General features: G+C 44.2%; 1 non-coding gene across 1 annotated transcript; it reads left to right on the top strand.

Annotated features, from left to right (window-relative positions):
- Window positions 1-5,539: 5,539 nt before the first annotated feature.
- On the top strand, window positions 5,540-5,648 carry MIR187 (microRNA 187). The gene has a single exon (NR_029616.1). It is a non-coding gene; the product is annotated as a microRNA 187 (primary transcript).
- The last annotated feature ends 11,229 nt before the right edge of the window (window positions 5,649-16,877 follow it).

Here is a 16,877-nt window from a genome sequence, read left to right as displayed (position 1 = left end):
TGAGGTCAGTACCACTTCTCCATTGCTATATGCTTTTCTCCAAATAACATGGTGGAATCTAAGGTGCTTATTATTTCTCTTCTCATTAGCAGTATTTATTTATTTATTTTTTTGCTGAGACTGGTTCTGGCTCTGTCATCTAGGCTGGAGTACAGTGGCGTGATCTCAGCTCACTGCAACCTCTGTCTCCTGGGCTCGAGCGATCCTCCCACCCCAGCCTCCCAAGTAGCTGGAATTACAGGTGTGTACCACCACACCCAGTAAATTTTTGTATTTTTTTGTAGAGACAGGGTTTTGCCATGTTGCCCAGGCTGGTCTCAAACTCCTGGACTCAAAACAATCCACCAGCCTTGGCCTCCTAAAGTGCTGGGATTATAGGCATAAGCCACCGTTACTGGCCTATTTATTTTTTGTTTTTGGAGACAGGGTCTCACCCTATTGCCCAGGCTGAAGTGCAGTGGCATGATCACAGCTCACTACAGCCTCAGCCTCCTGGGCTCAAGCGATCCTCCTGCCTTGGCCTTCCATAGTGCTGGGGTTATAGGTGTGAGCCATCCTCAATAGCATTCTTTGAAAAATGTGTGTAGACATTTTATTAAGGAGGTGTTTTATTGAGCAAAATAAGTGAATGTGGCTTGGTGAGGAGTGGGGATGGTTTGCAGTAGCTCCTGCCCTTCCCTTCCCTTCCCTCCCCTGCCTTCCTCTCCCCTCTCCATGTGTTCTTGGGCCTGCTTTGGAAAGCATCTGTGAGGCCACGTGCTGAAGGCAAGGAGAGAAAACGTATTAGGTTCTCTAATATGATAATAATATAAAATAAATTTATGGTGCCCCAGAGGGAAAGAATTACAAATGGATGAAAGGTGACTATTTGATGTACAAGCCTTTTTTTTAGGGTGTAAAAATAAATAGAGGAAAATAGAGTGCAAAAAGAACCTGCGGCAAATGGGCCCGCTTCTATGGCGCTTCAGCTACAGCCCACCACCCCGCATAATGATGGCCATTTTTCAAATAGCTCTGCAGTCTCACACTTTTTGGCCAGTCTTAGGAGGTTTCTAGAGCTCCTAGTCAATGAAGAGCACCTTTGTCCTGGTCTCTCTTGCCCCACTCCTGCAGACCTCATCCTCGCCATCTCCCTCAGGGCACGTCTCCTGTCCTTGGGCCAGGCAGCAGGCTTGGAGAGAGGACCACAGCTCCTTTCTTCATTGCTCCCTCAGCCAAGTCTGTTATACTAGGACAGTCTAGGTTCATGCTTGGGGTACGCTGGGGACAGCCCCATAAGGGGCCGAGGAGCCTGTCTCCCAGGGAAGTCAGGCCTTTGCTGGCATGCACACAATCAGGGCCCTCTGGGTGCTTTGGTTCTGGCACAGCCCTTCTTCTCAAACTACCAGACAGGTCGTAGTAAGCTCTTTCCCTCCTGGAGACACCCAAGGGCCTGCACCCTGGATGTGTAGCCCAGGGTGGGAGTTCTGCCCACGGCCTTCTGGCTGCAGGCCTCAGTCTGTCCTGAGTCTGCCCAGAAGCCCCTACTACCCTGCCTGGGTGGATGCTGTCAGGCCACTCTATGTGGGCTCATTTCTTCCCTGAGATCCAGCTGCACTTCACCAAGGCCACTGGCCATTCAATTAGTAAATTCTCCCCTGGTTTCCCCAAATCCTTCCCCATCCCAGGCTTCTGAAGCTTAGATCCTCGTACAGCCCACACCCTTAACCTCTCTTCTGTCCCTTTCGATGTGAAATAGGATAGCATTTGGCTGCAGGTGACAGAATCCAACCGTGGCCCAAATGGGTGAGGCATTCACTACCTTATGTCCAGTGCTTAGCGCAATGCCTGTTATGTTTGTTAAATGAATACAAGAGTGAGTAATTTCCTTAAATAATAATTCTGAGGCTGGGCGCAGTGGCTCACGCCTGTAATCTCAGCACTTTGGGAGGCAGAGGTGGGTGGATCAGTTGTGGTCAGGAGTTTGAGACCAGCCTGGCCAACATGGTGAAACCCTGTCTGTACTAAAAATACAAAAATTAGCCAGGCATGGTGGTATGTGCCTGTAATCCCAGCTACTCGGGAGGCTGAGGCAGGAGAATCTCTTGAACTCAGGAAGTGGAGGTTGCAGTGAGCCAAGATTGTGCCACTGCACGCCAGCCTGGGTGGCAGAGTGAGACTCTGTCTCAAAAGAAATAAAAAATAAGGAAAAAAAAAATTCGAGAACTTATTCATGAGAAGACCCCTGGCCCTCCACCTGCTACAGACTTAATAACCACAGCGTTCTTTCCCCTCTGCCCCAGCCTACTGCACCCCGCTGCCTGCTGATCTCTTTGTTCCCCTGTCCCGCAGGTGGGCTTCATGAGCTTGAAGCTTTCCTCTAAGCTTTTCTTTCTGGTTCCCATTCTGTTCACTCTGACCTCTTGTTGGCACAAACAAGTCAGATAGCCCCATCTCAGGATGGGCATAGAGGAAGTGATTTGGTTCCCCTCAGGACCATGTTGGGTAGGGTTGAGGTAGAAGATCCCGGGCAGTAAGGGGGGACAGGAGGCTTGTTTTGTCTTCATCTTCCTGCAACACCACCTACTCTCCACTATTTGGGCCTTGGACCTGCACCTCCGTTGTTCCAGCTGAGCTGCCCGTATGGGCCTGGCTTCTGACTTGGGAAAGAAGGCCTGGCCTGCAACACCTGGGAGGATGTGCTGTGAGGCAGGTGCAGGGGGCTCCCACAGGCTGAGGCTCTGTTACCGCCTGGCCTGCATTTTGGTTCCTGGGGAATCTGAGAATCAGCCAGCTGTCTAAGCATCATGCAAGTAAGCAAGTCATGCAGGCAGCCACTCTGGGTCAGCTTCTGGGATTTACTCATCATGACTTGCTCCCTGCTGCGAGGCCAGAGCCAGAGCTCAGGTCTCCCTGTCCTTGCATCAGCACGGGCTTTCTCCCCACTGTCCTAGCTGCCTCTGTGTTCTTTAGTTTCTGAAAATACAGTTCCAGGGTGCCTGCTGCACATGCTTGTAGTCAGAAGTTGCAGATGAGTACTGGGATACCTTCACTTTCTTCAGACAGAACCCAATAATGCAACTCCACTTCTGCTGCCTTTCAAAGGCAAGGTAAGCATGTGCAGAATTCAGTTTCTTCAGAGTTTTGTCAGCAGGAGCCAGCCCCCCAAACTTGGGCACTTGGATAGCATCAGGTGTCTGGACTTGTGAAGCAGGGGGCTGGGTTCTGGGGACTGGGTAGCTTCTCCCAATAGCCAGTAGCGGGCCACTGCCTGGTGGCTCTGTGACAGGCTCTCATTTTTCAGAGGCCGTGTGTTGGGCCCTGAGACAATGATGTGTTAAAAAGTGTACGAGTCCACAGCAAAAGAAACTACCAACAGAGTGAACAGGCAACCTACAGAATGGGAGAAAATTTTTGCAATCTACTCATCTGACAAAGGGCTAATATCCAGAATCTACAAAGAACTCAAACAAATTTACACGAAAAAAACAAACAACCCCATCACAAAGTGGGCAAAGGACATGAACAGACACTTCTCAAAATTAGACATTTATGCAGCCAAAAGACACATGAAAAAATGCTCATCATCACTGGCCATCAGAGAAATGCAAATCAAAACCACAGTGAGATACCATCTCACACCAGTTAGAATGGGGATCATTAAAAAGTCAGGAAACAACAGGTGCTGGAGAGGATGTGGAGAAATAGGAACACTTTGACACTGTTGGTGGGACTGTAAACTAGTTCAACCATTGTGGAAGTCAGTGTGGCGATTCCTCAGGGATCTAGAACTAGAAATACCGTTTGACCCAGCCATCCCATTACTGGGTATATACCCAAAGGATTATAAATCATGCTGCTATAAAGACACATGCACACGTATGTTTATTGCAGCACTATTCACAATAGCAAAGACTTGGAACCAACCCAAATGTCCAACAATGATAGACTGGATTAAGAAAATGTGGCATGTATACACCATGGAATACTATGCAGCCATAAAAAAGGATGAGTTCATCTCCTTTGTAGGGACATGGATGAAGCTGGAAACCATCATTCTCAGCAAACTATCACAAGGACGAAAAACCAAACACCACATGTTCTCACTCATAGGTGGGAATTGAACAATGAGAACACTTGGACACAGGAAGGGGAACATCACACACTGGGGCCTGTTGTGGGATGGGGGGAGGAGGGGAGGGATAGCTTTAGGAGATATACCTAATGTAAATGACGAGTTAATGGGTGCAGCACACCAACATGGCGCATGTATACATATGTAACAAACCTGCACATTGTGCACATGTACCCTAAAACTTAAAGTATAATAAAAAAAACCACACACAAAAAAAGTGTATGAGTCCTCTGTTGCTTCTCAGGGCCTGATGCAGTCTTAGATCATGAGTGCCCAGCCTGAGAAAGGAGTTTGGAGGGGAAAATAACTTATTTGGAGAACATGTGCCTGTATAGGTCTGCACAGACTCAGATATAGTGGGGAGTACCCTGGTCAGCTGGGAAGAGCCCCTCAGTCTTTTAGACAATTTAGGAAGAGAAGGGATTTCCCTCCCTCTAAATTGTTCAATTTTAAGTTCCTGTACAAAATGTGGGCATGATATTGTTATCCCTCTTCCTTCTACTTTTATCTTCTTTTGTTGGTAGAAAACGATGTGACACCTAATTTCTACACTTCTGTTTAATGTCCCATCTGGGCTCAAAGTCTACAGCCTTCCCAAAAGATTCGTTGAACAAAACTGATGGGTCCACTTTACTGAAGCTAGAAATAAGGAGAGCAACACCGCCGCTTACTCCTCATTCCCACAGCCCAGGAATTCTGTGGAGCTCAGCCAAGGATTGCGCGCCTCGGGGAGGAATCTCAACAAGTCACCTTTGGAGGGACTGAAGTTGGGACGCTTTTTGGGTTCTGGGCCTACCGCGTTTTATTTTGTAAAAAAAACCAGAAATGACTCATCCAAAATAATCTGCAAAAAAATGATATGTAGGAGTTTTTGAATAAAAAGAAACCATAAATAAGTAATAAATCCTTCAGAGGCCTATAGGAAATGGATAGCAGTAATGTTGTGTTTACTGCCTTACTCCCAAAGTGCAGATATTTATTATAACTCAGGGCAATTCATTGTACTAGCTTGGCGTTTACAAAATTCTCATCATAGTATTAGAGTAGGAACCCATTTCCTAGGAAGTATTGTTATGATAAACTGTAATTAGTGGCTTGTAAACAGCCATAATTCATTGTTTAAAGGAAAAGGTATGTGGACAGTGAAGTATTTGCGTGCAAAGCCCCTCACCTCTCTGAGCATTTCCATCAGGCTCGCTGCTCACCTGGAGCACAGGTCATCTATGCTGCCCCGGGCAGGACTCCTCGCCCATCACAGCCAAGACTCCTCAGGTCAAGGCCTCTGCTGAGCCCCAGTCCCAGGACCCTCTACTGATGCTGACCTCTGTTCTTTTACAGCTTCCTCATCGGGATGCACAGCAAGTCGGATTCCCCAAGCAGAAGCTGGGCAGCCCACCTGGAAGAGGAGGCCAGGCAGGTGCTGCAGGTCGGGCTCACCATGACACAGTGTGAGACCTCGGGCTACAACACAGGACCCGGGCGCTGCTCTGACCCCTCGTGTCTTGTGTTGCAGCCGGAGGGACGCAGGTCCGCAGCAGAGCCTGCTCCGCTTGTCCTGAGGGACTCGACACAGGGGACTGCACAGAGACCATGGGAAAGTCCAGGCTCTGGTGGGCAGGTGGGTGGGGTGTTGGGAGAGAGGCCGACCCGGACCACCCCAGGTGTCACCCATTCAGCCCCCTTTTTTGTCCTAGTTTCGTCTCTCCGTACACAGCTTGGCTCACCTCTGGCCCAGTGCAGGTAGCTGGTGCTGGCTGCAGGGTGACACAGCCTACTTTGGGTCTGGGCTTTGAGGATGCCTTCTGCTCCTCACCTCCGGTCCCCAGACCAGGTGACTGAGACTCCACAATGGGGGTAGGAGGGTAGCAAGGAAGGCAGTTTCTCCCCAAACATCTCTCCCATTGATGAGAAGCCCACCACTGGACCGCCTCCAGATCGGAAAAGCATTGCATTTTTAGGAGTTGTCTATTAAAATGTGAATATTTTCTGCAAGGTGGGAGATTAAACCACTGTAGGCATTAGCTGGTTTCATTGAAGACATTACTGCCAACATGACAGAGACTCCAGAAGGAAATGAAATCAGATCATGAACTCCCAATAGGGAAGAAGCCCCAGAAGAGGACCCTAAAACTGGAGGTGAGAGGTGTGAAAAGCAAGGTTCCTTCACCTGTGCAGGCTGTCACAGCACTGGGGTGGGAGCTTGGATGCAGGGTCCGCTGAGTGACTCTGCCTTCACAGCTGAGGACTATGGCTCGAATTTCCCCAAAGAGCCTGCTCTTGGGGCAGCACCCTTCAATCAGATTCAGATGAGCCCCTGGCCCCCAGGACTACCTGCATGTTACTTTCCACACCAACCCTGTGTCCTAGATAGAAAGGATCCATTTATTCCCTTGCTTTTCACCAGCCTCATGGTGTTCACAGTGCCTCCTCTTTTACAAGAAATGAGCTAGTTTTAAAATGTAATTGGTGCAGTGTTTTTCCTTCTCTTGAATGATCTGGAGGGAACTAGCATAAAATGACATTTTATGGTCATTTTAGGCTGCACTTAAGTGAAAACTGAGGGGAAAGCCGGGAAGTTGAGCGGATCGAGATGCAGGGAAGGCTCTGGGTCATGTGTCACCATCATGGCCTGAACAACCCAGCAGGATCCACTACAGAACAGATCAGGTTAAGGCAGACATGCTGTCTTCTGTGTGGGAAACCTGGAAACTGTCTTTTTTTTTCTTATTATACTTTAAGGTTCAGGGTACATGTGCACAATGTGCAGGTTTGTTACATATGTATACATGCGCCATGTTGGTGTGCTGCACCCATTAACTCTTCATTTAACATTAGGTATATCTCCTAATGCTATCCCTCCCCCTCCCCCAACCCCACAACAGGCCCCAGTGTGTGATGTTCCCCTCCCTGTGTCCATGTGTTCTCATTGTTCAATTCCCAACTATGAGTGAGAGCATGCGGTGTTTGGTTTTTTGTCCTTGTGATAATTTGCTGAGAATGATGGTTTCCAGCTTCATCCATGTCCCTACAAAGGAGATGAACTCATCCTTTTTTATGGCTGCATAGTATTCCATGGTGTATACATGCCACATTTTCTTAATCCAGTCTATCATTGTTGGACATTTGGGTTGGTTCCAAGTCTTTGCTATTGTCAATAGTGTCACAATAAACATACGTGTGCATGTGTCTTTATAGCAGCATGATTTATAATCCTTTGGGTATATACCCAGTAATGGGATGGCTGGGTAAAATGGTATTTCTAGGTCTAGACCCCTGAGGAATCCCCACACTGACTTCCACAATGGTTAAGCTCGTTTACAGTCCCACCAATAGTGTAAAAGTGTTCCTATTTCTCCACATCCTCTCCAGCACCTGTTGTTTCCTGACTTTTTAATGATCCCCATTCTAACTGGCGTGAGGTGGTATCTCATTGTGGTTTTGATTTGCATTTCTCTGATGGCCAGTGATGATGAGCATTTTTTCATGTGTCTTTTGGCTGCACAAATGTCTTCTTTTGAGAAGTGTCTGTTCATGTCCTTTGCCCACTTTTTGATGGGGTTGTTTGTTTTTTTCTTGTAAATTTGTTTGAGTTCTTTGTAGATTCTGGATATTAGCCCTTTGTCAGATGAGTAGATTGCAAAAATTTTCTCCCATTCTGTAGGTTGCCTGTTCACTCTGATGGTAGTTTCTTTTGCTGTGCAGAAGCTCTTTACTTTAATTAGATCCCATTTGTCAATTATGGCTTTTGTTGCCATTGCTTTTGATGTTTTAGACATGAAGTCCTTGCCCATGCCTATGTCCTGAATGGTATTGCCTAGGTTTTTTTCTAGGGTTTTTATGGTTTTAGGTCTAACATTTAAGTCTTTAATCCATCTTGAATTGATTTTTGTGTAAGGTGTAAGGAAGGGATCCAGTTTCAGCTTTCTACATATGGCTAGCCAGTTTTCCCAGCACCATTGGTTAAATAGGGAATCCTTTCCCCGTTTCTTGTTTTTGTCAGGTTTGTCAAAGATCAGATAGTTGTAGATATGTGGCATTATTTCTGAGGGCTCTGTTCTGTTCCATTGGTCTATATCTCTGTTTTGATACCAGTACCATGCTGTTTTGGTTACTGTAGACTTGTAGTATAGTTTGAAGTCAGGTAGCGTGATGCCTCCAGCTTTGTTCTTTTGGCTTAGGATTGACTTGGCAATGCGGGCTCTTTTTTGGTTCCATATGAACTTTAAAGTAGTTTTTTCCAATTCTGTGAAGAAAGTCATTGGTAGCTTGATAGGGATGGCATTGAATCTCTAAATTACTTTGGGCAGTATGGCCATTTTCACGATATTGCTTCTTCCTATCCATGAGCATGGAATGTTCTTCCATTTCTTTGTATCCTCTTTTATTTCATTGAGCAGTGGTTTGTAGTTCTCCTTGAAGAGGTCCTTCACGTCCCCTGTAAGTTGGATTCCTAGGTATTTTATTCTCTTTGAAGCAATTGTGAATGGGAGTTCACTCATGATTTGGCTCTCTGTTTGTCTGTTATTGGTGTATAAGAATGCTTGTGATTTTTGCACATTGATTTTGTATCCTGAGACTTTGCTGAAGTTGCCTGTCAGCTTAAGGAGATTTTAGGCTGAGATGATGGGGTTTTCTAGATATACAATCATGTCATCTGCAAAAAGGGACAATTTGACTTCCTCTTTTCCTAATTGAATACCCTTTATTTCCTTCTCCTGCCTGATTGCCCCAGCCAGAACTTCCAACACTATGTTGAATAGGAGTGGTGAGAGAGGGCATCCCTGTCTTGTGCCAGTTTTCAAAGGGAATGCCTCCAGTTTTTGTCCATTCAGTATGATATTGGCTGTGGGTTTGTCATAAATAGCTCTTATTATTTTGAGATACGTCCCATCAATACCTAACTTACTAAGAGTTTTTAGCATGAAGGTTGTTGAATTTTGTCAAAGGCCTTTTCTGAATCTATTGAGATAATCATGTGGTTTTTGTCTTTGGTTCCGTTTATATGCTGGATTACGTTTATTGATTTGTATATGTCAAACCAGCCTTGCATCCCAGGGATGAAGCCCACTTGATCATAGTGGATAAGCTTTTTGATGTGCTGCTTGATTCGGTTTGCCAGTATTTTGTTGAGGATTTTTGCGTTGATGTTCATCAGGGATATTGGTCCAAAATTCTCTTTTTTTGTTGTGTCTCTGCCAGGCTTTGGTGTCAGGATAATGCTGGCCTCATAAAATGAGTTAGGGAGGATTCCCTCTTTTTCTATTGATTGGAATAGTTTCAGAAGGAATGTTACCAGCTCCTCCTTGTACCTCTGGCAGAATTCGGCTGTGAATCCATCTGGTCCTGGACTTTTTTTGGTTGGTAAGCTATTAATTATTGCCTCAATTTCAGAGCCTGTTATTGATCTATTCACAGATTCAACTTCTTCCTGGTTTAGTCTTGGTAGGGTGTATGTGTTGAGGAATTTATCCATTTCTTCTAGATTTTCTAGTTTATTTGTGTAGAGGTGTTTATAGTATTCTCTGATGGTAGTTTGTATTTCTGTGAGATCGGTGATGATATCCCCTTTATCATTTTTTATTGTGTCTGTTTGATTCTTCTCTCTTTTCTTCTTTGTTAGTCTTGCTAGTGGTCTATCAATTTTGTTGATCTTTTCAAAAAACCAGCTCCTGGATTCTTTGGTTTTTTGAAGGGTTTTTTTGTGTCTCTATTTCCTTCAGTTCTGCTCTGATCTTAGTTAATTCTTGCCTTCTGCTAGCTTTTGAATGTGTTTGCTCTTGTTTCTCTGGTTCTTTTAATTGTGATGTTAGGGTGTCAATTTTAGATCTTTCCTGCTTTCTCTTGTGGGCATTTAGTGCTATAAATTTCCCTCTACACACTGCTTTGAATGTGTCCCAGAGATTCTGGTATGTTGTGTCCTTGTTCTTGTTGGTTTCAAAGAACATCTTTATTTCTGCCTTCATTTCGGTATGTACCCAGTAGTCATTCAGGAGCAGGTTGTTCAGTTTCCATGTAGTTGAGCAGTTTTGAGTGAGTTCCTTAATCCTGAGTTCTAGTTTGATTACACTGTGGTCTGAGAGACAGTTTGTTATAATTTCTATTCTTTTACATTTGCTGAGGAGTGCTTTACTTCCAACTATGTGGTCAGTTTTGGAATACGTGTGGTGTGATGCTGAAAAGAATGTATATTCTGTTGATTTGGGGTGGAGAGTTCTGTAGATATCTATTAGGTCTGCTTGGTGCAGAGCTGAGTTCAATTCTTGGATATCCTTGTTAACTTTCTGTCTCGTTGACCTGTCTAATGTTGACAGTGGGGTGTTAAAGCCTCCCATTATTATTGTGTGGGAGTCTAAGTCTTTTTGTAGGTCTCTAAGGACTTGCTTTGTGAATCTGGGTGCTCCTGTATTGGGTGCATATATATTTAGGATAGTTAGCTCTTCTTGTTGAATTGATCCCTTTACCATTATGTAATGGCCTTCTTTGTCTCTTTTGATCTTTGTTGGTTTAAAGTCTGTTTTATCAGAGACTAGGATTGCAACCCCTGCCTTTTTTTGTTTTCCATTTGCTTGGTAGCTCTTCCTCCATCCCTTTATTTTGAGCCTATGTGTGTCTCTGCATGTGAGATGGGTTTCCTGAATACAGCACACTGATGGGTCTTGACTCTTTATCCAATTTGCCAGTCTGTGTCTTTTAATTGGAGCATTTAGCCCATTTACATTTAAGGTTAATATTGTTATGTGTGAATTTGATCCTGTCATTATGATGTTAGCTGGTTATTTTGCTCGTTAGTTGATGCAATTTCTTCCTAGCCTCAATGGTCTTTACAATTTGGCATGTTTTTGCAGTGGCTGGTACAGTTGCTCCTTTCCATGTTTAGTGCTTCCTTCAGGAGCTCTTTTAGGACAGGCCTGATGGTGACAAAATCTCTCAACATTTACATTGTCTGTAAAGTATTTTATTTTATTTCTCCTTCACTTATGAAGCTTAGTTTGGCTGGATATGAAATTCTGGGTTGAAAATTCTTTTCTTTAAGAACGTTGAATATTGGCCCCCATTCTCTTCTGGCTTGTAGAGTTTCTGCCAAGAGATCAGCTGTTAGTCTGATGGGCTTCCCTTTGTGGCGTAACCCGACCGTTCTCTCTGGCTGCCCTTAACATTTTTTCCTTCATTTCAACTTTGGTGAATCTGACAATTATGTGTCTTGGAGTTGCTCTTCTTGAGGAGTATCTTTGTGGCGTTCTCTGTATTTCCTGAATTTGAATGTTGGCCTGCCTTGCTAGGTTGGGGAAGTTCTCCTGGATTAATATCCTGCAGAGTATTTTCCAACTTGGTTCATTCTCCCCGTCACTTTCAGGTACACCAATCAGATGTAGATTTGGTCTTTTCACTTATTCCCATATTTCTTGGAGGCTTTGTTCATTTCTTTTTATTCTTTTTTCTCTAAACTTCTCTTCTCACTTCATTTCATTAATTTGATCTTCCATCACTGATACCCTTTCTTCCAGTTGATCAAATTGGCTACTGAGGCTTGTGCATTTGTTGCATAGTTCTTGTGCCGTGGTTTTCAGCTCCATGAGGTCCTTTAAGGACTTCTCTGCATTGGTTATTCTAGTTAGCCGTTCATCTAATTTTTTTTCAAGGTTTTTAACTTCTTTGCCATGGGTTTGAACTTCCTCCTTTAGTTTGGAGTAGTTTGATCGTCTGAAGCCTTCTTCTCTCAATTCATCAAAGTCATTCTCTGTCCAGCTTTGTTCTGTTGCTGGTGAGGAGCTGCATTCCTTTGGAGGAGGAGGGGTGCTCTGATTTTTAGAGTTCCCGGTTTTTCTGCTCTGTTTTTTCCCCATCTTTGTGGTTTTGTCTACCTTTGATCTTTGATGATGGTGACGTACAGATGGGGTTTTGGTGTAGATGTCCTTTCTGTTTGTTAGTTTTCCTTATAACAGTCAGGACCTTCAGCTGCAGTCTGTTGGAGTTTGCTGAAGATGCACTCCAGACCCTGTTTGCCTGGGTATCAGCAGCGGAGGCTGCAGAACAGCGGATATTGGTGAATAGCAAATGTTGCTGCCTGATCGTTCCTCTGGAAGTTTTGTCTCAGAGGAGTACCCGGCCATGTGAGGTGTCAGTCTGCCCCTACTGGGGGGTGCCTCCCAGTTAGTCTACTCGGGGATCAGGGACCCACTTGAGGAGGCAGTCCTATCCGTTCTCAGATCTCCAACTGCGTGCTGGGAGAACCACTACTCTCATCAAAGCTGTCAGACAGGGACATTTAAGTCTGCAGAGTTTTCTGCTGCCTTTTGTTTGGCTATGCCCTGCCCCCAGAGGTGGAGTCTACAGAGGCAGGCAGGCTTCCTTGAACTGTGGTGGACTCCACCCAGTTCAAGCTTCCTGGCTGCTTTGTTTACCTACTCAAGCCTTGGCAATGGCGGGCGCCCCTCCCCAGCTTCGCTGCCACCTTGCAGCTTGATCTCAGACTGCTGTGCTAGCAATGAGTGAGGTTCCGTGGGCGTAGGACCCTCCTAGCCAAGCACGATATATAATCTCCTGGTGTGCCGTTTGCTAAGACAGTTGGAAAAGCGCAGTATTAGGGTGGGAGTGACCCGATTTTCCAGGTGCCATCTGTCACCCCTTTCTTTGACTAGGAAAGGGAATTCCCTGATCCCTTGCACTTCCCGGGTGAGGCGATGCCTCGCCCTGCTTCGGCTCACGCTCAGTGCGCTGCACCCACTGTCCTGCACCCACTGTCTGACACTCTCCTGTGAGATGAACCCGGTACCTCAGTTGGAAATGCAGAAATCACCCATCTTCTGCATTGCTCATGCTGGGAGCTGTAGACTGGAGCTGTTCCTATTTGGCCATCTTGGCTCCCTCCCCTGGGAACTGTCTTTGTGGTGTCTGTCTTCGTAAAGACTGGCAGGAGCCAAACCAGACTGGGACAAGTGCAGAGCTGGAACTCAGACAAAACTTGAGAAAGTAAATGAGTGTGAACTAGATATGAATCACTATGGAGGTAAGCCATGTTGTAGGATTTTTATTATTAGGTTTTCATAGAAAAGTTACTACTTGCTCTTCCTAAAGCCAGTAGATTGTGCTGAGTAAGAGGAGCCTCAAGACAGGGACCCTCACACTGGTCCAGGGCAGGTGGGTGAGGAGTGGTTACTCCCAGGAGCTGCTCACCATGAGGAGTTGGAACTGAGCTGGGTAAGGAGGGGCATCTGTGTGGCACGGGGCATTGTCAGGAAAATTGGTTACATAGAGTAATCAAATAACTAAATATATTCAGGAAAATAGAACCAGTATGTCACTGACAAAGGAGGGAGTTTTATAATATGGAAAGGGAAGACACCAGAATAAACTGTGGTGTTGGAGTAAGGTTGGAGGTATTAGTGTAAGCATATTGTTTTTAATAGAGATAGGTATAGAAAACACACACACACACCATTCCCTACCTCTGTGCACTGAGAAGGGCCTGGTAACTGTGACATCCCAATAAATCTGAACACATTGTGCCAGATCTTGGTTTCTAAATGTCATTTTTCACTGAAAGGGCCCAGAACTTTTTGGAGAAATGGCTGATTCCAGGGCTGGGGCAGGAGAGATGCAAAAGGAACCTGGAACATCTTATAAAAGGAAGTAAGAAATCTCTTTAGAAAATGATGAAGTTTTGTCTAAGGGACAAGAAATTAGATGAAGAGCCCCTCACTGGCCATATCTGGGATTATTTAATCATCAAAATACATATGGCCACCTGTAATCCCAGCACTTTGGGAGGCCAAGGTGGGCGGATCACCTGAGGTCAGGAGTTCAAGACCAGCCTGGCCAATATGGTGAATCCCTGTCTCTACCCAAAATACAAAAATTAGCAAGCTGTGGTGGCAGGTGCCTGTAATCCCAGCTACTCATGAGGCTGAGGCAGGAGAATCGCTTGAACCTGGGAGGCAGAGGTTGCAGTGAGCAGAGATCACACCACTGCATTCCAGCCTGGGCAACAGAGTGAAACTCCATCTTAAAAAACAAAAACATCTTAAAAAACAAAAAATCCCATATTGCTAGCAGCATATTATAACTGCTATAAGATAAAGTAGGAAACCATGAACCCATGCTGACATTTAAAAAGCAATAAATCAAAAGTTTGATGAGCAACAGGGTATTTATGTAATCTCAAAGTACATCCCCACTAATTACAAAGGCAAGAAAGTGACCTTACTGCAGAAAAGTCTGACAGTTGTGTCCCATTCATTTGTTCTCTCTTTAATTTGGTCATTTTGAGAATGTTATATAAATGGAATCATACAGTACATAATATTTTTAAGTTAGGCTTTTTCCACTTGAAATAATGTCTCTGAGACCAATGCAATATGCATCATGTATCAATTGCTTGCTCCTTTTTATTGCTGAATATTATTCCATTGTAGGGATGTACCACAGTTTATCCATGTACTCATTTAGGACATTTGGGCTGTTGGTATATTTTGGCTACTATGAATAAAGCTTCTATGAACACTCATGTACAAGTTTTAGTTTCTTTGGGATAAATGTCCAGGAGTGCAAGTTCTGGGTCAAATGTAAGTGTATGTTAATTTTATAAGTAATTGCCAAACTATTTTCTAGAGTGATTGTCCCATTTTACATTTCCACCATTATGTATGAGAGATCCAGTTTATCTACATTCTCACCAGCATTTACTATTATTATTTTTTATTTTAGTCATTCTAATAGATTTGTGATGATATGTCATTATGGTTTTCTCTTATTCTATTTTCTGTTGGTATAACAGAATACCATAGACTGGGTAATTTTCAATGGACGGAAGCTGGGCATGGTGGCTTATGGCGGTAATCCCAGCACTTTGGGAGGTCAAAGTGGGAGAATTGCTTGAGATGAGGAGTTCAGGACAAGCCTGGGCCACCTAGTGAGACACCTACCTCTAATTTTTTTTTACACTTTAAAATATGTATAATAAACATAATTTGTTTAGTTCACAATTCTGGATGTTGGAAAGTTCAAGAGCACAGTGCCAGTGTCTGACGAGGGCCTTCTTGCTGCATCATAACATGGTGGAAAGCATGGCAAGAAAGCAAGAGAGTGCATGTCACTCAAGCCTCCCTTTCTCATCTTATAAAGCCACCAGTCCCATCATGGAGAACCTATCCTGATGACTTTATAGAATCCTTATTACTGCCCAAATGCCCCACATCCAATCAATGTATTAAATTGGGGATTAAGTTTCCAACAACACATGAAATCTGGAAGACAAATGCAAACCATAGTGTGTTTTCATTTGCATTTCTCTAATGGTTAATGTTTTTGAACAACTTTTCTATGTTCATTTTATATCCTCTTTTGTCAAATGTCTGTTAATGTCTTTTGCCTATTTTCTAATTGGATTGCTTGCTTTTTTACTGTTGAGTTTGTGCGTTCTTTATATACTGTCAATATAATTCCTTTGTCAGATATGTAGTTTGCACGTATTTTCTCCCAGTCTGTGGCTTGTTTTTTTCATCCTCTTATGGTCCTTCACAAAGCAAAAGCATTTTAATATATCAATTTGTTCTTTTATGGAGCATGTTTTTGGCACTGGGTTTAATGTCTAATGATGTTGAACTTAGCCCTTGGTTTCAAATATTTTCTCGTGTGTTTTCTTCTAAAAGTCTTATAGTTGTACATTTTACATTTAAGTCTCTGGTTCATTTTGAATTTTTTTTTTTTTTTTTTTTTTTTTTGAGACAGGGTCTCACTCTGTCGCCTAGGCTGGAATGCATGGCACAAACACAGCTCACTGCAGGCTTGATCTCCCAGGCTGAAGTGATCCTCCTGAGTATCTGGGACTACAGGTGTGCACCACCACACCAGCTAATTTAAAAATTTTTATTTTATAGAGTCGAGGTCTCCATATGTTTCCAGGGCTGGACTCCAATTCCTGGGCTCAAGTAATCCTCCTGCCTCAGCCTCCCAAAGTGCTGAGATTACAGGCATGAGCCACCGTGCCCAGCCTAAATTTTTCTTTTCTTTTCTTTTCTTTTTTGAGACAGGGTCTCAGTCTGTCACCCACGCTGGAGTCCAGTGGTGTGATCTCAGCTCACTGCAACCTCTGCCTCCTGGGTTCAAGCAATTCTTGTGCCTCAGCCTCCTGAGTAGCTGGGATTACAGGTGCCTGCCATCACACCTGGCTCATTTTTTTGTATTTTTAGTAGAGACAGGGTTTCACCATGTTGGCCAGACTGATCTTGAACTCCTGACCTCAAATAATCCACCGACTTGGCCTCCCAAAGTGCTGGGATTACAGGTGTGAGCCACTGTGCCCGGCCTCAGCCTAATTTTTTTAATAAAAGATTTAAGGTGCTTGTAATCCCAGTGCTTTGAAAGGATGAGGCAGGATGATCTCTTGAGGCCAGGAATTGGAAACCAGCCTTGGCAACAGAGCAAGACACCATCCCTACAAAAAAATTTAAAAAGTAAAAATTAGCTAGATATTCTGGCACATGCCTATGGCCCTACCTACTTGGGAGGTGAGACAGGAGGATCAGTCAAGTCCAGGAGTTTGAGGTTACAGTTAGCTATGACAATGCCACTGTACTCCAGCCTCGGTAACAGAGTGAGACCCTGTCTCATAAAAAAAATGGTGTCAGGTTTATTGTTTTTGTTTTGTTTTTGCCAATTGGTCCAGCACCATTTATTGACTAGACTATCCTTTCTCCATTGAATTGTTTTTGTACCTTTGTCAAAGTTGTTTGGACCTATTTGTTTTGTTTTTTTTTCTGGGTTC

This window comes from Homo sapiens, chromosome 18 (assembly GCF_000001405.40).
Source record: "Homo sapiens chromosome 18, GRCh38.p14 Primary Assembly".
NCBI lineage: Eukaryota > Metazoa > Chordata > Mammalia > Primates > Hominidae > Homo > Homo sapiens.
Note: the sequence above shows the minus strand (reverse complement) of the source record. Positions and strands in the feature narration are given on the sequence as shown.